Below are 24,044 nucleotides of genomic sequence, written 5' to 3' on the forward strand. Positions count from 1 at the left end.
GTCTGAACACACCTTCACACCCTGCCACGCAGCTTCTCATGAATCAGAAGTCACCTGTACCTCAGACTGGATTTGTTCAGAAATGGTCTCTGTGCATTTTTTGTCAAATGCCTTCTCTTGTTCTTTTCCATTTCTCTTTAATACCCTAACCCTGAAATTTTTATCTGAACTGTTCAATTCACCTCTACAGTTAAAATGCTTAAATGTTGGCTCTCAATGAATATAAATACTAGGCTAGATTTGGGCTCCATTTAACGTATACGCCCAGTGACTTAACATTGGAGCCGCTGCCATTTCCCCACGAATCTCGCAGATAGAATGGCTTCTGTTTTCATTCCCACTTGGCAATGATTCCCTGCCCATTTCATATGGTTTGTATGAAATGGGGGAGAAGTTCTAGTTTAGACTATGGAGCTCAAATTAAGGTTCATCTCTTAGCTACCTATTTGTGAAAAGTTTTAGGTTTGTAGTGTTGTAGTTGTGATATTTTACTGTTATATATGTAACTTTTTAAAGATTATAGGCAGTACTCCCTTGATTAATTTTTAGAGGGCAAAGAATTCTTGAATTGTAACCAACTCAGAAATAATCCAGGCATATAGAAGTATGCAAACACTATTTGTTGAATAAAAGGAAAGAAAGCTAATTTCTCTGCAGTGAACATTAAATAATCTGTTGGCTGGATGACGACTCTCTTCTTTACAATCAAGGAAACAGAAGTGCAGTACAGGTGCATGGCTGAAGACTTTGTATTGTATCTCAAGAAATCCAGTAGTAAACAAGGTGAACTCTACTAAAGATTTTATTAGATTTTGGAACCTGAGCTTTCTCCTTGGTAATGTAAACTGGAATGCTACTGTTTTCCTTGGAGAATTTAGGGAGATAGATTCCCATAGGCAGGGGCAGAAGGGCAGCCTGCTCTCACACTCTTCCCTAAGGATTCGATGAAAATAAGTAGCCTTTGTAATATGACCAAGCCAACGAGAAACTCAGCCACGAGCCTCTTTCCTTTTTCTCAGTGCTGCTGACCCTCGGATTTCTGTAAGTGTAAGTACTTAGTCTTGGAGTCTTGATACTCCGATGTAATGCGGATCACATTAAAAAAATCATGGACAGCTGGAAAAGGAAAATGATGACCTACTGTGGTTCTGTTCAGCCTGATGATAGGACAAATGTTCACTTGCCTCTTTCACAGAAACCCAGATAATGTAAGAGGAAACGATTTTGATGATGTGCAACTCCAAAATCCACCACATGAACACCTGCAGCTTGTGAAAATACTCCAGGAATTTTAAGAAGAGCACAGTGAGGCGGTCAATCACCAGGTGCCATTTGTTCCTTAAGTCTGCAAAATAGGAAGTACAGACAAGAGCATAACATTTTTAAAAATATTATCATTTAAAGCATATCTTGTAACTTTCAGGTTGGAATGAGAGGCTGCAAAATAATTACAGTGGATGAATTCTAAGAAAACCAAAATCTGGAATAAGGATGATGTAAGAATCCCAAGTCATGATGACACAGATATCATACTCTCAGACTTGGAGGGACAATGTGGCTTTTGTCCACCTTTTGATTAAATTAGTGTAAAGAAGGATTTTGACATTATCTTCCTTCCTTCCTTCCTTCCACTCGCTTGCTTGCTTGCTTTCTCTCTCTCTCTTTCTGACAGAGTCTTGCTCTGTAGCTCAGGCTGAAGTGCAGTGGCATGATCAACATTATTTACTTTTCTTTCTTTCTTCCTTTTCTTTTTCCCTCCCACCCTCCCTCCCTTCCTTCCTTCCTTCCTTCCTTTTTCTGACAGAGTCTTGCTCTGTAGCCCAGGCTAGAGTGCAGTGGCACAATCTCGGCTCACTGCAACCTCTGCCTCTTGAGTTCAAGCGATTCTCCTTGAGTAGCTGGGACTACAGGCACATACCACCATGCCCAGCTAATTTTTGTATTTTCAGTAGAAATAGGATCTCGTCATGTTGGCCAGGCTGGTCTTGAACTCTTGGCCTCAAATGATCCACCAGCCTCAGCCTCCCAAAGTGCTGGGAGTACAGGCATGAGCGCCCATGCCCCCAGCCCCCTTAATCTTATTTACTCTTAAGACCAAACTATAATTTTCTAATATTCTAGGAATGTTAAATAATCTTAACTCCTTCTAAAAGACATCTTTCTTGCCACAACGGCACTTTTATAAATGGCCTGTCTCCTTCGACAAGGCTTAACTGGTGAGTGGTAAAGCTCTCTGGTTTCCATGAAAAAGTGAACCAGTCAGAGCCCTGCATGGGCAGGAAGAGCTTGCTCCTTGTCAGAACAAGAAGTGAACTCTAAGCATCAGAATGACTCAGCCCGTGGTTTTCTGAAACATGGTCAGATTCATTCAAATGATAATTTTTAATCAAATTACTTATTTTATTATTTCTACCTTGTGCTAAAACAGGAGTCATGCTTCTATCTAGAAGGACTATGCTGGCTCACTTTATTGACTGAAAGTCACAGCAGGACTGTTTTGTAATATCAGCCTGTCTTGTTTGTAAACAAAAGCTTACAAGTCTGTCTTGGCAGATTACAAGTCCTAAGTATCTCTTTAAGTAGCTTCTTTAACTGGCTTGGGTATATGCAACAGTTACTGTGCCTGGTTCTGAAAGCTAAGTAAGGTTCTAGTTATTGTGAAGTATGCTTACAGTAGTTCTCTTTTATCCATGGCTATGCTTCCCAAGATTTCAGTTACCTGCAGTCAACCACAGTCCAAAAATATTAAATGGAAAATTCCAGAAATGATTCAGAAGTCTTAAGTTACACACTGTTCTGAGTAGAAGGATGAAATCTCATGCTGTCCCGCTCTGTCCTTCCCCTTGGAATGTGAATCCCTTTGTCCAGCAGGGCCATGCTGTCTACACTCCCTGCCCAGTGGTCAGTCAATTAATAGCTGTCTCAGTTCTCAGAGTGACCGCTGCAGTATTGCAGTGCTGTGTTCAAGTCACTCTTATTTTACTTTCTAATGGCTCCAAGTGAAAGAGTAGTGATGCTGGCAATTTGAATATGCCAGAGAGAAGCCATAAAATGCTTCCTTTAAGTGAATGGTTAACAATTCTCAATTTTATTAATAACGAAAGAAAAAAATGTATGCTGAGGTTGCTAAGATCTAAGGTAAGAACAACTCTTCTATCTGTGTAATTGTGAAGAAGGAAAAAGAAATTCATGCATAGTGTATACAGGGTTCTGTGTTATCTGAGGTTTTAGCATCTACTGGGAGTCTTAGAACATGTCCCCCAAGGCTAAGGCAGGACTACTGTATTTAGAGAGTGACTCAGATGGTAGTCAATAAAAAGGTGTAGGTAATAAATGAGCATGATTTAGACGTGTAGCTGCCACAGACATGAGGGATTGAGAGAAAAGTGGCTGAGCAATTTTGGGCAGGACCTATTAGCAAAGCTCAAAATCCATCTTGAAGTAGTGTCATAAAATCCTAGACTTAAGTCCTTGGCCTCACAGAGCTGGGGTCTCCCCTTCACACTGAGGAATTCACAATGCTCAGATATGGAGAGAACGTTTCCAGTCCTCTCCTCTGTGTTCTGAGATGAGTGGGGAAAGAACACCAGGTTTAAGGGGCACAAACCTTTGGAAGGGGTCTTCTTGCTACTTTTTTTGTTTTCTACTTTTGTTAAGGACAGTTGACCAGCAAAGACAAGTGCAGCATCTTAAGATCATAGCCCCAGAACCTCACCCCAGAGATGATGCTCTCTGGTTTGTCCCAGTCTTTCTGGAAACTGCTACATAGACTTTATATTCTCTGTCAGATAACATGTCCTGATCACTGAGGCTGCTCAATGTTCATCATGCTCTATTAAAACATTATTTCAAGTCTAGGAAGGGAAGTAGAAAAGAAGAGCCCAAATAATAAAGATTGAAACTCCTGTAACAACAATATTGACAAAAACATCTCTAGGAGTTTGCTTGAAATTATAATTATCCAATTGCTGACTTTCTCCTCCAGTTCCCATGTCCTTAGGCATCAGATCAGAGCTAGAAATATATTCTTAATTATTGGCTTCCTGGAAAAGTCTCAGAATGGTTTCTTGAGAATGCATTTGTAAGGGCGATGTCTAGAGCCTTTGAGATTCTGCACAGCCAGGTTGTACCTGCATCTGGTAGAAACAGAGAGGCTCTGACTGAGGACGTGGTCAACACCATGCCCCACCAGTGTCTAGACAGGAGCACTACTTGAGGGTCAGTCACTGATAACCAGTCGTCTGGTCTCTACTCAGTCAGAATTAAAAAGAAATTGTTGGAGCAATTGGAACAGTAATATTATAACTATAGCAATCAAACAAAAACCACTCCAATTTTTATGTCATGGACTGGGTCAAATATATATTCTTTTGGAGCAAGTCAATGTTTCCTTCACTCAGTCTGACAGCCAGCGTTCTCTGACCAGCTGCTGGTAGTGGGCTGATTACCTGATGTTTCTTCCTCCTCCTCGGATTCCTCCTCTTCCTCTCCGTCCTCCTCTGACTCCTCGCTGTCTTTCCCAAGATCACCCTTCTGGGCTTTTTCAGAGTAGCCCTCAAGCTTCTCCTCCCCAGGCTCAGCCAACTTCCTCACCTCCGGCTTCTCCAGGCTGGCAGTCAGATGCATCATGGTGAGGTCCGGGAGGCTTCCTTCCGGGTGGGCCAGTCTGTTGGCAGAGAGCAGCTGAGTCAGAAGAGGAAAGGGTGTTGGGAGAGATTTGACTGAGGGGCAAGTAAAAGGAGGATAAACACAAATGAAATCAGTGCATGTACAAAGACCTCACAAGGTGGGGTGTTAGCGTTTTGTCACTTTCTTTTTGGTTGGTTTGTTTGTTTTAAGTTCTTTCTAAAAACAAACTGTAAACTTGGTTAGGTTTTGTTAGCTTTTTTAATTCGGGTTCTAGTGATTAGTTGGTAATGAGAGCTATCAACACCTAAACTTGACATTTTTCCCAGAGGAGAAAATGGTCAGAGTTTAGGGTGTAGAAGCATGAAATGGCATCATGTAGAGCAAGCATTTCATGGCTTCACAGGGGGACTTACTCATTTTGGTGGATTGGTAATTTTTTCTTGATGCTGCTCATAGTAATTGAAATAGAAAGGAAAAAAAGGAGATGAGAACAGAAGAATTATAAGGAATGTCAGAGATCACATATCATGCTACATATCATCCACTATTGCATTCCTGTATGCCTGTTGCAGTAACGCCCTAATGCCAAATGCATTCCAGGGTGGCATCAATAGCGTGCTTTGCTCTGAACCCTAGGCATGGCAACTGATCTGAGAGTGGACAGGATTGCAGGTTTGTAAAGGAGAGAGCATACTGAGACTGCTGAGGCAAATTATATCATGCTTTTTTAGTAACGCAACAAACCATCTTGCAAGAATCAAGTCATTCACATTTTTGGTAAGTTTTTAAAAATTTCTTGAAAGAATGTGTGCTTTCAGTCAACCTTTGTGTAGACGAATCCCACTCTGCCATCTAAAGCATGTGCCATGGAAGCTAAGTGTTTTCAGGAGTGAGACGTCTGCATCATGTCCCCACCTGAGAGTTACTGATGCGAACTGTCGATTGGCAACCGTGGGAAGACTGTGTGAGATCCTGAACCAGAGAAAGAATACAGGGAGAGAGAGCTTCCGGTGAGCCCACTCAGCAGCCTGGGATGTTACAGTTTATTTCTTAGTGGACCATAACAAGTCCCATCCTTCTCCTACAGTTTTTTTTAAAAGCATATCTTTTTATTCATACTCAAATTAATGTTTTAAAGAACTTCTGGGCAATAAAGTCTACATTAAGAAAAAGCCTAGTAGACATACTGATAGTCTTCTCTATTTATCATAGTTAATCCAGAAATTTTTAGCAGGGTTCAAACAAGATGGACAATAAATAATATTATTCTATCTGGATAATTGTAGGTTCTGAGTAAACTATTTAACTTTGTGAAAGTTAATTAATTTTCTACCAAATGAGGAAGTTTGATTAGATAAAATGCAGGTTTACTTTCAACTTGTTGATTTGATATTTGTAAACATGCCTATCATTTTGGGTAACTGTCGTAAGGAATCCACATTGTCCCTACGCTTTTAGATTATCATTCAAACAATTCCCTTGCACAGGATGTCCAGCAGGTAAATGATAGTATGCCAGAAACAGATTGTTAATTTAATGAAGAGAGAGAATCTGAAGCGAGTTTTACATTGGTGGAAGGAGTTAGGCTGACATACTACTTCCTTATTTTCCTAAGCTAGTCAATTCATCCTCTCGACTTTGGAGAAGTTAGCTACTCTTAAAATTGCAACCCATATCTTCTATACCAGTGCCACACACCAAATCTCAGGGAACACATTTGCTGTTCCTGCTTTGTCAGGACTCTCCATGTGAAATGTTATTAAATGTGGAAGTGATCGGCTGCTGCACAGTCGTCAGTATGTATTTGTTCTCTTCAGGGATGCATTTTATAAATGAAAAGATACCTTTATTAAGACAAGGAATTCGGTGGTTGCAGTGTGAGGTGGGACCACCTCAGAGTGAATCTTAAAGGTCTACATTGACACTGCTGCAATCTCATACGACAAGAAAACTACTTTCTAACAATTACTGCTATTAACAGAGTGAAACTCAAAGAGGGGAGGCTGTTTCCACAGCTGCTACTACAGCTACACAGCAGATGTCCTTAAGCAACGATGCCCCCAAACTGCCATGCCACAGGCAGGGTGCATTGAGGAGAGATCGTTCAATGAAAGAATCAGAGGAAGACACTGGAGTAAGCCTTTTGGAAGTAGGTCCACAAGGCTGATTTCTAGAAACTTGTAATGGGACAAGATGCAGCTGCGGACAAATGAGAAGGGCATCTCTGCATCCAACACTGCTCATTCCCTCTGACCTTAGAGCCACAAACTCCAGACCCTCTCTGGAGCAGTCTAACCTCATGAGCTTGTAATGGATGACAAAAAAAGAAAAAAAAAAAGAAATTATGTATCAGGCTGTCATTTACTAGTCTAGGGGTTTATTAACTATCTTGAGAAATTTCAGAGAATTGTACCTTGTATTGTAAAAAACTGTGTGCATAAAACATAGATAAAAATATTTTAAATGCATGAATAAAGTATACTGTTTCAAAAAGACACTTGTGTGAATCCTTTTACTTTTCTCTCTCTCTTTTTCTCATTTTTATGGTAACATTGTTTTTAGAGGCCATAGAGAAGAACGTTAAAAGACTTGGGTTCAAGTCTTCACCAGAAAACTTGCTAGCTAGGTGAGATGGGAAAGCTATGTAACCTATCTTTTAAGTCTCGGTTAGCTGAAACAGTAGTGCCTATTTATAGGAGGTTGTAAAAATTAAGGTGGTTTCTGTTAAGCAGTTAACACAGTGGTTAATTACACAGGAAACATTTTAAAATAAGGAGCCATCTTCTAATGGTAGATTTTCATATATTATGGTTTGATAATCTGCATCATAAATTCATTGTAAAGAAAAAGCAGAATTAGAAACATGCTTTTGTAAGAGCCTGCACAATGATGGATGATACGGAAGGTATTAAACTTAGACTATGATTCTGTCATCAGCGCCTTCTTTAACAGAACTTGGCTATTTTATAGAAGGCCATTCAGAAGAAAAAAAAGGAGCAAACATTTCTTCATCGGGAATCTGTTTCCCAATGGTCTCAGGGTTCTGTTTACTGGGCTTTCTGTGTGTAATCTCAACTACTGCATTCCCTGAGGAGTGGGAGCGGCAGAGGTGGTTCTGCACAAATGCAAGCTTTCGAGGCAGACCCAGCTGCGGTTGCTAGAAGAAACAGCTGTATGGACTCTCCGGGAAAGCCTGTGTATTTTAATTCAGCTTTTTTTTTCCTTCCTAGCAAATAAAAAGAAAATGGATCTTGATTTTCCAAAAACAAAATTTAAAAACCCACTCTAGTAAAAATACTCCTGGAAACTTCAGGCTAAAGAACTTATAAGACTTGTAATTCTTTACTGAACATCAGGCTTCAGGCTAAGGAACTTATAAGACTTATAATTCTTTACTGAATATCAGGTGCAAATTACCTAGTGGTCATATGCAGGATTTTGACTTTGGGACTCCAAATAATACGCATGATGATGAACAGGATTCCCGGAGAAGCCCCCTCCTCCACTGCCTTCAATCAGGCTGCTTTGGATGTCTTTCTCCACAGGAAGTGCATTTCTTCTCTTAGGGTTTTCTTTAACATTACTGATAACTTTGTTTCCTTGCTCTTATTCAGGCTCTGAGCTCTAACCTTCTCACTGACCATTAAGCAAAATGGCTCTCTCCTTTCATGTTCTAACGGAGCAGATGACAAGTATTTGTTTGTGTCTTCACTCACTCTACACTTCCACAGCTTTGTGCAACTCCCAATGTGTGTGTTTCTCCATTTGTGACTCTGTCATTTTATTCTAAGTATGGGTTCTGGGGACTTTCCCCTTGAAGACAGAATCCAGTCCTGCTCTACTCATCACCCTTACAAAATGTAGTACTGTGCCTGGGGTGCACTATAATTCACTGAATCTTGGGTGAAGAAATTTTATGCACTGGAGATACATCCTTATTTGAAACAGAAGAAACAAATTACTTGACAGGGACGCTCAAAGAGGGTTAATTCTGTACAAGAACCTGACTTTGAAAAGCTGCATAGTAAACTACTTTCCATTAAAGAAAATGGAAATTCTAGCATTGTAAAATCTCCTTAGTCTGAATGTCATTTGTTTTTATGATTCTAATTTGGAATATGTGGTAATATAAACTGCACTGACACTGTTATCATTAGACTATTAGCAGAAAGGTGACTTGCACCTGTGTAGTGTTTAATATAAGTAACATTTAAAGTAAAATAATTTTACTGTTTAAGATAAATTATTATCTAGAACTCAAAAGCACTCTCAGAAGATTGTATTCACATATAGGCACTTGGTTTGTGAATTGAATATTACATCTTAATTATGTGTGTTGGTAAAATGTATACTGTTTACTAGGTCAGTTGCAACTTAACCACAATTATCTATATTTTTAAAATGTTATCAAAGTGGCCTACTGTCCTCAATACACTACCCTACCTTACAACTTGTAAAGTCATGTCTAAATTTTAATCAACTCTTAAGTTGAATTGTAGGTATGCCCCTCTTTCAGCCCAGAACTAACATTTATAAACATTTTATTCTCCTTATAAAACACTGAACATAAAGAAATAATGAGAGAAAGCAAGCTTATATACTTTATTAAAGGATTCACCCTGTCATTCTAATGGATAATCAGCCCTACTCAACACTGCATACAGCATTTCAGAAGCACACATTATAAAATGAGGGACAGGCTTGTTTGATAACGTTTCCTTTGAGGCACAGCTCTGGCTGCTCTTTTTTTTTTTTTTTTTGAGAGGGAGTCGCTCTGTCGCCCAGGCTGGAGTGCAGTGGCACCATCCCGGCTCACTGCAAGCTCTGCCTCCCAGGTTCACGCCATTCTCCTCCCTTAGCCTCCCGAGTAGCTGGGACTACAGGCGCCCGCCACCACACCCAGCTAATTTTTTGTATATTTAGTAGAGACAGGGTTTCACCGTGTTAGCCAGGATGGTCTCGATCTCCTGACCTCATGATCCACCTGCCTCGGCTTCCCAAGGTGCTGGGATTACAGGCGTGAGCCACCACACCCGGCCTCTGGCTGCTCTTAACATGTTTATATTCACACAAAAATAGGAGATTTCACTGGAAAGAAGGTAAAGATGGGATATTGCAAGTTTTTGGTCATTTGGGGTGACTTTGAACTTTGATACTTCTAAGAAGTCCTGAGAGAATTAGCTGGCCTTGTGGCTTGGGATAAGGGGCATAAGCTCCCATTCATGATATAAGTCTCGTCCTTCGGGATCAAAAGTCATACGAGTTGCTGCCAAGGGAGCCCATCAAACCAACTCTTGCCCTCTTATGGGTCTCAGCTTTCTCTTTACAAAGCAAATGCTAAATGCTTCATAAGAAACACAGAGAAAAAGAGAGTGAGGAGTTCCTTATGTTTGGAGGGATGGGATTTAGATTATTGCTCAGGATTTCTAGCTAGAGTCTGTTTCTTACTTCTCTTCCTATCAGCTGAAAAACCTGTTGTTGATGTTTCTTTTTCAGGTTGTCAAAAACCAGCCCCCAAAAAACCTGACAGGCCTCGTTCATTCCTCCTCCCTCAGCAATCCACAAGTGACTCTGCTTTTCATACTTGGTTAGAAGTTCTGCCTCTTAGGGTTTGTAATTTGGTTGTCTGCCTTAGGATTTTACCTATAAGAAAAGCGAACGGGGTAGAAAACCAACAAATCTTTTGAAGAATTATTTTGTTAATTGGATTTATTGCAAGATATATTTCTCTTACTAAATTACTAGCTTTATTACTAATGACATGCAATTACAAGAGTGAATATTTTAATTCACCTACTTAGTAAAGTAAAATAGTTTTAGTAAGTTAGATCCCAAAGGATAACTCTGGAGGATAACCTATTGCACGACATTTATCAAAACTTGCTTTTTATTTTGTGTGGACATTATATGTTTTATCTCCCTAGCTAGGTGATATGCATCTGAAGGAAAGTCCATATCTCAGTGCCATCTCAGTGCCTTTTGTGCTGTGCAAACATATGAAATCTGGTGATGTAAAATATCCCTCTTCAATAATATGTTGATCTTTCAAGTAGAGATATATTTGAAGAAAGTGATGTTTTTAAAACCATATATTGTGACTACTTTCTTTTCATTTAGGAAATAGCTATCAAATATCACTTCATGGGTAAGGCGCTGGGGTTAGGTGACATGGGGACATCTTGGTGAATCATAGAGGGAGTCCAGATCTGAGAAGGTTATGCCCCTACTCTAGCAAGGCAGATAAGACAAGCAGGCAGGAGATCAGACAGAGGACCGGAAGGCAAGTGTCGGGACAGCATCAGTGATGGAGTGCTACGGAGGTTCAGAGGGAAGGCGGATTACTCTTAGCAGGAATGTTGGCATTTATGGGAGGGTTTGTGGAGGAGGTGGTTCTTGAGCTGAGCTCTCAGTTATGTGTTCAAGAGGGAGGGGAGTTCTCAGGCAAGCCTTGCACTAATTCTACCAAAGAACAGAATGAATGGGACGTAAGTTTGAACCAAGGCCAAAGGCTGAGCACCAGCTGAAGACCCTCAACAGCCTCCACATCCACTTGACGGCACCAGTCGGTACAGATACCAAATGGTTTGGTTTGCAAAATACATCCATGAGCATACCTGAAGACCAGTGTCCACTATCTGACAACACGATTTTCATGTATAAAGCAGTTAAGAGTTTAACACAGCAAGAAATAGCTTCGAACAAAAATAAGAGAGAAAACATTGAAGTACCCACCTATTTATTATTAGATATACGCGACCATTGACTTTGGCATGGCTACGAGGTGGCAGACGGAAGCACAGGGATGCAATGAGGAGACAGGTTGGAGAGAAAGAGAGGAGACTGTTAGACAGAGACGAACAAAGTGGACTCCCTTAAGCTTCCTAGCATCAAGTGTAGCCACCCTCACAGGCTTCATGCCTTGAAGAAGAGTCTAGACAGCAAGATTCAGTAGCAACATTAAATCAGACAATGTTCAGGAAAAATGCTAAAAGATAACAAGCCTCTCCCTTCTTCTCATCCCTCTCCATCTCACACACTTTATTACAAATTTGTAATGTTTAAATTTTTTAAGGTACCTTTTTTTTTTTTTTTTCAGAGTCTTGCTCTGTCACCCAGGCTGGAGTGCAGTGACGTATCTTAGCTCATGGCAGCCTCCGCCTCCTGGGTTCAAGTGATTCTCCTGCCTTAGCCTCCCAAGTGGCTGGGATTACAGGTGTATGCCATCATACCTGGCTAATTTTTGTATTTTTAGTAGAGATGGGGTTTTACTATGTTGGCTTAGTTGGTCTCAAACTCCTGACTGCAGGTGATCCACCCTCCTCAGCCTCCCAAAGTGCTGCGATTACAGGTGTGAGACACAGTGCCTGGCCTCAAGGTACATTTTATGAAATAAAATATAATTTAAAAAATTAATTTTTGCTGCTACCCCAGAATTAAAAAAAAAAAGGATCCTACTCAGCGGCCATATTCAACATGTTGTTTTCTAAGGTTTTGCTAAAACTATAGTTTAAAAAAAGTCATTTCATTTCTCTATGCATAATAATACTTTCTAAAACAAACCTGCATAAATTAAAGAGCTATAAAAGTAATGAATATGGCCGGGTGTGGTGGCTCACGCCTGTAATCCCAGCACTTTGGGAAGTCGAGGCAGGTGGATCATGAGGTCAAGAGTTCGATACCAGCCTGGCCAATATGGTGAAACCCCCGTCTCTATTAAAAATAGAAAAATTAGCCAGGCATGGTGGCACATGCCTGTAGTCCCAGCTACTTGGGAGCCTGAGGCAGAAGAATCACTTGAACCCAGGAGGTGGAGGTTGCAGTGAGCCGAGATGGCACCACTGCACTCCAGCTTGGGCAACAGAGCGAGACTCCGTTTCAAATAAAAAAAAAAACCAGTAATGAATATTTAAATAGTCCTTTGTAAATCATTGCTAATTATATATTATATAATAAACAATGTTATACGTTATAATTCTTATAATATGAAATTCTATCAATATATAGGTGAAATAATATTCCTGAGATTGCCTCCTTAGGAATAATAATTTCTTCCTATATTATTACATTTTCATAAGGCTAACTTTGTAAATTCTGTAAGTCTAAACATAATAAATTCTGCTTCATACACAAGTGACATGTGCCTACATTACATCTGTGTGCATAAGCACATATACACCAACAAGTGACACAACAGGAAAATAAGAGTTGCATATCTCCAGAGACAACAGTGTGGAAATCAGCTTAACGAGCGAATCGGTTATTCCTGATCTGTGGGCCATTTCTTGTAAAGCAACTGTTTAGGAGGCAGGAGCAGAGAAAGCAAAGCCTGACAGTCAATCCTAACTCTCAAAATATTCCTTTTTCTTCATCATTTTGATTTTAATGTAGCCATTGTATTAGGACTCCAAGGACAAAAAATACTGTGAGGTGAAAATTATGAGCAAGGAAAATACTCCCATGAGGAAGAGTTGCTAAAAATATATATATATATTTAAACTTTGAACATTATATATATTATATATTAAGCTTTGAACATTTTATATATTATATGTAAAATGTTATAATTATATATTATATATTAATATATATCAATGTACATCATATTATATATCATATAATTATATATATCATAATATATATGATTATATATTATATGATATATTATATTATTATATGTAAACAATTATATAATATAATTATAATTATATATAAATAATTATATAATATATTATAATTATATATAAATAATTATAATATATTATAATTATATATAAATAATTATAATATATTATAATTATATATAAATAATTATATAATATATTATAATTATATATAAATAATTATATAATATATTATATAGTATATATATTATATTAAATAATATATATTATATTAAATATTATATTCTTATATTATATATATTATTATATTATATAATATATATTATAAAATTTTCATAGAACGAAAAATGAAATCCTATGTCCTTAAACTCTTCAGAGAACTGGCATTACACACTCTTTCCTCACCCTTTACATTTACTTGGAAAATTCACCGTTAAGGGAGTGCTTAGGGCTAAGCCACAGCTGCAAGGAAGGCAAGTCAGGACTCATATCGGTACAGATCATTTAGATCTTTCTTCTCTGCCATGGGGTGCAGGGTAAGGGCTGTGAAGCGGCAGCTGAGGAAACATAGAACCTACATCTTGACGTGGGCTGCAGTCTTTCCCCAGAACCTGCATAGGCTAAACACTGCTATACACGCTTAAAGGGAATTCTGTGGGACCTTAATTCAGTTTTCACATACGCTAGGTCCAAACCTTGGGAGTCTCTAGGCTGGTGAACCAAATTGTCTTCTGCAAAACTGTGGTCCTGCATGTTTCTACTTTTCTGGATAAATGGTGAATTATATCTCTGTTTGATTGCGTGACAGAAGACTCAGACACATCCACATTAAGAAAAATGGCAAGAAAAAGGTTCCTGCATGCTGGAGGCACTTTTAGTGAGAAAAAAAAATGAATATGCAAGAGAAGAAATGGCATTTGGAAGAAAAAAAAGATTTTTTTTTAAAAAAGATTTCACTAGCAATGCTTAATAATTACAACTCCTTCACAAACATATAAATTGGCTCTGCTAACTAAAATACTTTGTAATTATTGAATAGGGCCCTTGAAAAGAATGGTGAGGGCTTATAGTAAATTTAAACATGTTACATGGTCAGAATTAAATATCAAATACTAGTTTTATCCACACAGATCACAAACAATGTCAAAATAATGATTAAAAAAATCCTTTTTCTGATTATTGACAATTCTCACTTTTATGTGCAGGCATTCTCTTTGTAAACTTTTAAACTTGGGGTGATTTTCCCTCCCATCAAGTTTGTCTATGACTGATATCTTCTAGGGTTCCCCAAACTTCTAATAACTACTTTATTTTTCCTAATGCTTGATCATCACTGAAGGTAGCAGGAGTACAGATATGGAGATGGTAAACCACTGACCCCATCCATGCCCTCCTCCCTGCTGGGGCCTTGGGAGCAGAGAGGTTTTAGCAGAGCCTGATTTTCCTGGTGGCTAGATAGCAAAACAAGTCATGACTGATTGATACCTCTTGGTTCCATGGGTTACGAGTCATCTGAAGTATCAGAATGATAGGCGAAACACAACACAATAAGAAAAGTGAATCTGCTGGTCATAAACAAGGATTATAAAATGTTTCTCATCATTAAATAAATGTTTTGGGTCTATCCATAACTCTAGTTCCTACACAGCAGAACGCTGGAAGTTTGGCATTTTACGAAATGCATATCATGAACTCCTACTTCATCTTCTATTGATACCTGCATTTTTTCCCTTAAAGTCAAATAATTAAGGAGAATTTTCATCCGTGGCCTCTGTGCTCCTCTCAATACAGCCCTTTGCTCCCTTAGCTGCTTAACAAGTATTTTTCCAATATCTGAATCATAGGCTAAACATGAGGCAGAAAGGAAAACCATTGTCAGCGTTCACTAAAAGAATGCTTGTGATCTCCCCGTGATGGAACACAGTGAAGGATTTGTGATAACCCATTGTGGTTTGAATAAATACGGGCAGGAAAAGTAATATCCCATCTGTTATTTGCAAACAATGTATATTTATTGATGAGGATAAAACAGCCGTAAGCTGCTAAAAGAAGATATTGTCATCATGTTGTCCTCTTAAATATGATTGTAGTTACTAGTCAATTGCAGATTCTGTTTTTTCAGCCAAAGTTCTTTATTTCCAAAGTGGAAGGGAAAACTGCCCATCATCTTTTGCTATGCTCTCACAAGACTTCTGTACTTGTGGTTGGCATAATGGAAAAATCCTCTGAATTAGCCAGATTCCCTAAATGTTCTAAAAACATATAACCAGCCTAGACACAAATACACATATCAACTCTAAAATATTTAAGTCTCCACAGCTACTCTGAATATCTCACAAGACGATCAAGATCACTTTACATTAACCAGTCATAAGTCACTACCCATTGTTTCAGAACGTGTCACAGAATCTTCCACATGTTTTCCTCTTTTTCTCACAAGCTGATACTCATGGAAAATTCAAGGCTGAAACTTTTAGATTACTGGCTTCTCGCAAGGTGGCCAACCTAAGGTAGGGTTGAAGAGCTGCCTTCCTGCTAATAAGAGGTCTGTGTTTCTTCCAGTGGCTCACCTGTAGATGGTGTTGTCTTCTTTGCTGGGAATGGACTTGAGGTCTGTGAGTTCAAGGAACCGGTCATGGAAGTAGTGCAGGTGTAAAATGCACACCAGCAGAAAGGAGGTTGGGATGAATATGCGAGTGAATAGTTCAGCCACAGTAAACTGCTTTAAGCCAAGATCCTCAAGCCTGCAAAACAAAACAAAATAAAAAGCAGGAACCTCTCTTACGCAATGAAGTCACAAACTCTTTGTGATAAACTACATCACAGTCTTACACTCCTGTCAGGTCTATCGTTTATTGAATCCCTCTCTCCCATATGGTCCAATATGGCTTTCGTTTCCACCAAGCCAGCTAACCTACTTTAACAATGGTCAATAATAAACCTTGACATTCCCAAATTCCAGGACTATTTCTTCAGCTTTATTTAATTAAACCTCTGGTCCTCCTTGAAGCAAGTGTGGTCTTGACACCATCACACTCTCTTGGTTTCTTGTTCCTCCATGATCTCCCCCTTTTCTATTGGACCTCTAGAGGCTGAAATTTCCCCAGGACTCTGTTTTGATCTCTCTTCCAGCTGTGCTTTCCCCCTAGGGAAATCCTCTTCTGTGGATTTACACATCATCCTTACACCAAGGACTCAAAGTGCATCTACAGCGCAGGCTCCTCCTGTAAGATTCTCGTGCCCAAATTGCTACTGGAAATTGGTTGTTTCACAGTTATTTTATATTAGTGCTTCCAAAACAGTATTCTTGATTTTCCTATTTTTCTTGGCAAAGCTGTCCTCCACATCCCTCTCCCCACTCTAGTATCCCTGAACCAATAAATGGTACAACTGTCTACCCTGCGCAAACTGAGAAGTCAGACGCCTCCTGTGTTCTTTTCTTTCATATCTCATTCATCCACATTTCCTTCAGCATCCTAAAGCACCTCTTGAATTGCCCACTCCTGTTATCCGTCTCTGCCTCCACCAAATCTAGGGGAAGCTCCCATCATTTCTCACAGGACCGCTGCTGCTGCCTACTAACTAGTCTCCTTGTTTCTACTCCCACACATCGCTTTTTCTCAGCTAGTCAAGGGATCTTTAAAGATTGGAAAATTCCACCAAGAATAAAATACAAATAATGCTACCTACAAGCCATGCACATCCCAGCTGCCTGCCTGAATTCTCCCCACTCTTCGCTGTCCACTCACCCCCTGTCTTCAGTTCCTCTTATGAACTGTGCCAAACTCTGACTTGCCTCAGGACCTTTGCATGTGCTGTTCCCTCTGCCTGAAATGTCCTTCCACACCCCAGACTCCAACTCACACACTTTTCCTAAGACAAGCTTCTTCTAATGCTTCAACTGTAGTTTAAACCAGCTCCTCAGCAAAGCCCGTGCCAGTCACTCATTTATAGTTCCCCCTTACTCACTGCCTCAGCCTGTTGTCTGTTTCCTTCACAGACCTGTCACAAAGTATAATAGACTTATTTTACACTAAATAGTTTTGTTTGTCTCCTCTGCTAGAATATAAGATCTACAGGGCTTAGATTTTGTCTGTCTTGTTCCCTGTCATATTCCAGGCACAAAACAGTGTCAGCACATGGACAGCATTTAATAAATGCTTATTGTATAGACACTTCAGCTGTGTTGGTGTAGTTACACAGTTATCTTTCCCTTCTAAGGGACAGAGACTTTTAAGGGACTTCCCTTCTCAGCCACATCAATATATTCAGCTCAAAACCCAATGCTGGCTGGATTTCCAAACTAATTTCAGAAGTTTACAGAAGAAAATTAGAGAAGGATAGAGCACTATCTCCCACATGCACAGGAACACCATCTCATCATCACAAGTCTATGAGCACTTGGAGAAATTTATTTCTTTTTGGCGCTAAATACTCCTTAGAATCTAAGCACCCAGCAACATAAATGAGCAAAGTCTGCTACTTTATGTTATAAGTGCATGAACTTACTTAAGAACTGAAGAACTGAGCTCCAATGTGGAGGGCAGAAAGCACGACTAAGTGTTAGGTGTGTTTCACATGAAACTAACATTAGAAAATGTCATTTCATTAAAATTCTGAAAATTCATGGAGTGCCTATTATGTTCTAAGCTAAGGGCTAAGTAAAGAGAACACAAAAACGACTCAGTTTTAATTTCTATTATTGAGGAACTTATAGACATTGATGACATCATGCTTTACTAAAATCTTCCTTAAAGATGCTTTGAACAATATGCATTCAAGTCTTCATCTTGTTCATCATTTTCAACTCAAAATCACTTACTTTTCTTTTTTCAGTCCAGTCATATTTTGCCACAGGCCTGGGAAGTTCTCAAACTGATATGTGTATATAAAGATAAGCACCAGCATAGTGTAAATAACCACTGACATCCAAAAATATTTTAGAATTTTCCTCCACCATTCATAGTGCACCTGCAAATCAGACATTGAAAAAAAAAAATGAGAAAAAATCACTTTTAGGAAAACTCACAAAAATATTTGGTTTAATTCAAGTAAGACAAGTGATACATTTACAAGTGTCTGAAAATAAAGTCTATTTCATTTCTAGTTTTTAATGTTCCGTGTCTATCACAGTGGAGTGGTCCTGGGTTAGAACCCCAGTTTTATAAATGATTGCTAACTGTGTGGGGAAGAGGCTGAACCTTCCATAAGTGCCTATTTTGCAGGGTTGCTACGAGGATGAAATAGATATTGCTTATGGGTTCCTGCAAGCTATCTGGCCCATAGGGGGCGCTCAAGGAACAGTAGGGTAGGTGCTGCTGTCATTGTGGTTATCATTGCTCAGAGAAAACCACATCCATTTTGAAATTGAAAGCAATATTGTATGAATGAAAATGTGAACCAACCACAGAAAAAAGACATCTCGTTTTACCGTAAGCTGTGGATATTCATTAGAGAACATCCATCCTGAATTTTTAAGAGTATTCAAAAGTTCACTGATTTCTTTTGAGATTTTTTTATCTTAACATATTATGTACTCTTGTTTATTGTAGTTCCTTTATTTGTTTTGTTGGCTACCTGCAAGATATTTTACTCTTTCATGTGTTTCTATTATTGGGTTCTCTTTTATCATCAGTTAAAAGTGAGTCTGTGGAGAAGTAACTCATTTTAATGTATCTCATATATTAACTTATTTTAATGAATGAAATTCTTTTAATTAATGAAATATGAAAGCAGTCAATGCACTATACATATATATATATGTACACAAAGAGCAGGCACATGCCACACATATATCTTTTTCTGACCCTAAAGCCTGAAATGCAAAAGTATACCTAGGAATACTCTACGACTTCAGATTATCCAGCTTTTAAATTACTATTTTAAAATATAATTCAATTTTTACAGGCCAGGTGCGGTGGCTCATGCCTGTAATCCCAGAACTCTGGAAGGCCGAGGAGGGCAGATCGCTTGAAGCCAGGAGTTTGAAACCAGCCTGGCCAACATGGTGAAACCCCGTCTCTACTAAAAATACAAACATTAGCTGGAGGTGTTGGCACACACTTGGAATCCCAGCTACTTGGGAGGCTGAGGCATGAGAATTCCTTGAAACTGGGAGGCAGAGATTGCAGTGAGCAATGAGCAGAGATCACGCCACTACACTCCAGCCTAAGGGACAGAGCAAGACCCTGTCTCAAAAAAAAAAAAAGAAAGAAAGGAAGGAAGGAAGGAAGGAAGGAAGGAAGGAAGGAAGGAAGGAAGGAAGAAATAGAAATGTAATTCAATTTTACAGATTTTTTTTGATCAATAATTTTTGGAAAACCTATGTATGAACTTTTTCCTGATTTTTCAACAACCTAAAATTTTTATTTTTACTTTTTTTAGAGATGGCATCTTAATCTGTTGCCCAGCTGGAGTGCAGTGGTACAAGCATAGCTCACTGCAGCCTTGACCTCCTGGGATCAAGTGATCCTCCTGCCTTGGTCTACCAAGAAGCTAGGACTACAGGTGTGCCACCACAACTGGCTAATTTTTTAATTTAAGAAAATGTTTTGTAGAGACAAGGTTTCAGTATTTTGCCCAGGTTGGTTTGGAACTCCTGGCCTCAAGCAGTCCTCCTCCCTTGCCTCCCAAAGTGCTGAAATTACAGGCATGAGCCACTGCACCCAGCCCTGAAATTCTGAAATAGTAAACAAGTTGAAGACAGTCATTTCCCATTTTAGGATTCTTGGGATACGATGTTTGAATCTTGCCAATCACTTTATCCATGTTCATGAGATTCTAGTGATTTAAAATCTCTGCAGAGGTAGCTCATGTATACTCCTGGGAGAGATGTGAGAATTAAAATGGTCAACTGTGTACCTACCTGGTATAGGGCCACACAGAACAGGAACAGCACCATGTAGATGATTTTGTACATTACGATTTTACCCTCGAAGCTGACGAAGAAGAACATGCCTCCGCAGACGTAGATCCAGTACTTGATGAACATGGCCACCACCAGATTGCCCAGGACTTTCATGATGTCCTGCTCATCTTCTTCTTCAGCTTCCTCTTGCTCTACCTTCTTTCTCTCTTGCTTCTCTTCCTTCGCTTCCTCTTCTTCCTCCTCTTTGGGCTCTCCTTCCACTTGTATATCTTGAAGTTCCTCATCTTCAAATAGAAAACTGTGCTGTTATACTTAGCTGGTTATCTGTGCAGACCACACTTTGACCATGTGATAGGTATAGGATGTAGAGGCATGCATTTTCTAAGTTATTGTATAATTTGGATGATTTTAGACTATTCTCATAAACTCAGCAACATTTATAACTAGATTAAAAGTCAATTTTCATAACCTTCTCAAAATATAGTTTACAAGAAAATAAATTTGGTAACACTAATTTATATACAAGATCTTTTTTCTTTCTGATATCCAGTGATAGCTTTAAGTACTGTGAGATGTAAAAAATAAATAGGCAACAATAGCACAAATCTAAATGACTATATCAATTTCAAATTCTAATTGCTTCATGGCTCTAGACAATCCAAATAGTACTTTACTAAATGTGGTTAATGCTAACAATCTTAAACAAAAAGTATACTTTTAAATAACTAAAAATTTAAGAGTTACAGCAAAACATAATTTAATTTAAATTAGATTGAAAGAGTAATTGTAATTTAAGTTTAAAACAATTTAATGGATCAAAATAAAAAACTTATTTTGTGTTGCTTTAAAATACATAAGAGTCATCTCTGTGTTACACAGCCTTATATTTGAAGAACTTGAATAATTATTTCAAAATAATTATTGGGGTTAATTTGAATAATTTATTCAAACAACTAGTAGATTCACAGTGAGAAGAGTGAAAATCAAGTGAGGGCTCAGAGCAACAGTTGATCTCAAATTAACCATTTTTTACCAAAATTAACTGGTTAATTTAATCACTATGTTGAACAGAGACATCCAAACTCATACAGGCAAGATTTGAATCTTATAGACAGACTTTTGTTACTGAAAAACAACTCATTGTTTAGGTCCAAATAAGAAACTAAACATAAATATATGTGTGTGTGTATGGAGATATATATATGCCTGTATTCATTCTTATGGTTACTGGTTTAATCTGAAGGTGACCAGCCCAGCTTCTGTGGACATTTCTAGGCTCCTTTTCACAGACAGTGCTTCTTAACCTCACAATAGTCTTCAATCCATTCTACAAATATTAAATTTACATTTATTGGCATACCTAGGGAATTAGGGAGCAAGCTGTTCTTATTTTACCTATATAGCAGGTCTAAAATTATCAAGGTGATAACATCATCATCCTCTGTTTTTACATTGTGGTATACTATTGTTAAGAAAGAAGAGAGAAGTTTTAAATGTGAAAGATGTGACTTAGCTTCTTGTTTCCAGTACTCACTAGAAGTATGACCTGGGAGGAAGCATTTAATTTCTCAGAGCCTCAGTTTTTCTTTCATTGGGAATCACCTTCGTGAGGATCAAATGGCACTTTTTTTTTTTTTTTTTTGAGAGGGAGACTCGCTCTGTCGCCCAGGCTGGAGTGCAGCGGTGAGGTCTCGGTTCACTGCGAGCTCCGCCTCCCAGGTTCACACCGTTCTCTTCCTCAGCCTCCTGAGTAGCTGGGACTACAGGCGCCCACCACTACGCCCGGCTAGTTTTTTGTATTTTTAGTAAAGGCGGGTTTTCACCGTGTTAGCCAGGATGGTCTCAATGTCCTGACCTCGGGATCCGCCCACCTCGGCCTCCCAAAGTGCTGGGATTACAGGCGCGAGCCACGGCGCCCGGCCCAACTGGCACATTTTTAGCACTCCTGTGCAACTCTCACGTGTACCTCAAAAGTCACACGCTGTAATAACGTTACTTATTGCTCCAAGTTTACATTCCAGTTTCATTTATTCTGAAGCTGTCTGATGTATTTTGGGGCTCTTTCTCTGTAATTTTGCTGAGCACCAAACTCTCCAGCCACACATATACACTAATTTACCTTTTTCTTCATTTTCCTGACTGCCAATTTTGACTTCCGATAAAAGAGCTTCCTTTTCTTGCAGAGCTTTTTGCTCTGTGAGGTGCTGCCTCAGCAGTAGCCAAAAAGTAATGGTGAAAAGGATCTGAAAGTAGAGAAGCAGCAAAACAAGAATTAAGCAACCATTTGGAATGTAAAAACATTCAACAAATGTAACATTTTCTCCGCATTCCAGTGGGAGCACAATAAATAAACCTTTTTATTGGAGACAGAGTCAGGTCACCTGCTTGACTTCAGCTGAGATTCACTGCTTTTAAGTCCCTTTTCCGAGGATGCTCCCATGTTTGTGTTGGGTGCCAGAAGCACCACGCAAGTCCTGAGGAAGATGAACCCAACCTTTCTAACAACTTCCACCTGGGCAGGAAATCAGCTGCAACAGGTGGTCTTCCTTGAGGTGCTGGTCCGTGGTTGATTCCCTCCTGACTGTGACGTCATTACAATTGTAAAAGGAAGATGTACTTCTTGCATAATACTCCCTTGACTGCAATGTTCCTTATTTTGAAGAATTCCGTAGATGGGAAAAGGAAAATTTCATCCCAGAAAATAGAACCCCTTATTATTAATCTTTTAAAGCTGAAGGGACACTAGTTCTAAGTGCCCATGCTTTCATAGTAACATTTTCTTAAGGACTAAGAAATCAAAAACCTTTTGATTTAGGGGAACTCTATTGTTTAGGAAATACAGTACCTAACACACAGTAGGTTTATTGCTGTTGTTTTTGTTTGAGAGGGAGTTTTGCTCTGGTTGTCCAGGCTGGAGTGTAATGGAATGATTTCAGCTCACTGCAACCTCTGCCTCCTGGATTCAAGTGGTTCTCCTGCCTCAGCCTCCCAAGTAGCTGGGATTACAGGCATACACCACCACACCCGGCTAGTTTTTGTATTCTTTTAGTAGAGACGGGGTTTCACCATGTTAGCCAGGCTGGTCTCGAACTCCTGACATCAGGTGATCCGCCTGCCTTGGCCTCCCAAAATGCTGGGATTACAGGCATAAGCCACCATGCCTGGTCACACAGAGTAGGTTTTTAAAAATAGCTTTATTGATATATAATTCACATACCATGCAATTCACCCATTTAAATTGTCTAATTCAGTGGTTTTTAGTATATTCACGGAGTTGTGCAACCATCACTGCAATCCATTTTGCAACATTTTCATCAACCCTGTGTAAGAAGCCCCACGACAGTTGCTTCCTTTTCTCCCTATCTCAGCCCTAGCCAACCACGAATTTACTTTTTGTCTCTATAGATTTGCCTAATCTGGAAATTTTATATGAATGAAATTATATAATATGTAGCCTTTCATAAATGGATTGTTTTTACTTAGCATAATGTTTTCTAGGTTGATCCACTGGTAGCATGCACAGTTCTTTATCCCTTTTAAACACCCAATAATACTCCATTGTATGGCCATGCAACATTTTATCCTTTCATTAGTTAATAGGCATTTGGATCATTTCTATATTTTAGCTATGATGGATAATGCTGCTATGAACATTCACATACAAGTTTTTGTGTGGACAGATGGTTTCAATCCTCCTGGGTAAATGAACCTAGGACTGGAATTGCTGGTCTTATGGAAATTTTATGTTTAAAATTTTGAGGAATTGGCACTTTGTTTTCCAAAGTTGCTGCACCATTTTACATTCCCACCAGCAGTGTGTGACCATTTCAACTTCTCCATGTCCTCAGTAGCACTGGTTATTATCTGCCTTTTTAAAAATTATAGCCATTCTGGCTGGGCACTATGGCTCACGCCTGTAATCCCAG

At 39.0% G+C, this 24,044-nt stretch overlaps 1 protein-coding gene across 11 annotated transcripts in view, besides 1 other annotated feature; it reads right to left on the bottom strand.

Annotated features, from left to right (window-relative positions):
* PIEZO2 (piezo type mechanosensitive ion channel component 2) overlaps nt 1-24,044 on the bottom strand; it is a 479,323-nt gene that overhangs the window by 98,717 nt on the left and 356,562 nt on the right. For 4 of the 11 annotated variants that reach the window (XM_017025918.3, XM_011525726.4, XM_011525723.4 and 1 more), the window contains 9 exons: nt 22,238-22,361; nt 20,116-20,402; nt 18,073-18,221; nt 15,821-15,994; nt 11,362-11,403; nt 5,545-5,601; nt 5,043-5,075; nt 4,449-4,666; nt 1,185-1,345 (listed from right to left, as the gene is read on the bottom strand). In XM_017025918.3, the coding sequence (XP_016881407.1) occupies nt 1,185-1,345; nt 4,449-4,666; nt 5,043-5,075; nt 5,545-5,601; nt 11,362-11,403; nt 15,821-15,994; nt 18,073-18,221; nt 20,116-20,402; nt 22,238-22,361 (1,245 nt within the window). The remainder of the gene's footprint in view (nt 1-1,184; nt 1,346-4,448; nt 4,667-5,042; nt 5,076-5,544; nt 5,602-11,361; nt 11,404-15,820; nt 15,995-18,072; nt 18,222-20,115; nt 20,403-22,237; nt 22,362-24,044) is intronic. The other 7 variants (XM_047437735.1, XM_047437736.1, NM_022068.4 and 4 more) reach the window with 3 other exon arrangements.
* Nucleotides 573-1,772: an enhancer, noted in NCBI's record as "BRD4-independent group 4 enhancer chr18:10769534-10770733 (GRCh37/hg19 assembly coordinates)". NCBI's record gives its function as "activates an origin of replication core promoter dependent on BRD2, P300/CBP, MED14 and CDK7 cofactors, and independent of BRD4, by STARR-seq in HCT116 cells {active_cell/tissue: HCT116}" and the evidence as "EXISTENCE:reporter gene assay evidence [ECO:0000049][PMID:35650434]".

The sequence above is a fragment of the Homo sapiens genome, chromosome 18 (genome assembly GCF_000001405.40).
Source record: "Homo sapiens chromosome 18, GRCh38.p14 Primary Assembly".
Taxonomy (NCBI): Eukaryota; Metazoa; Chordata; class Mammalia; order Primates; family Hominidae; genus Homo; species Homo sapiens.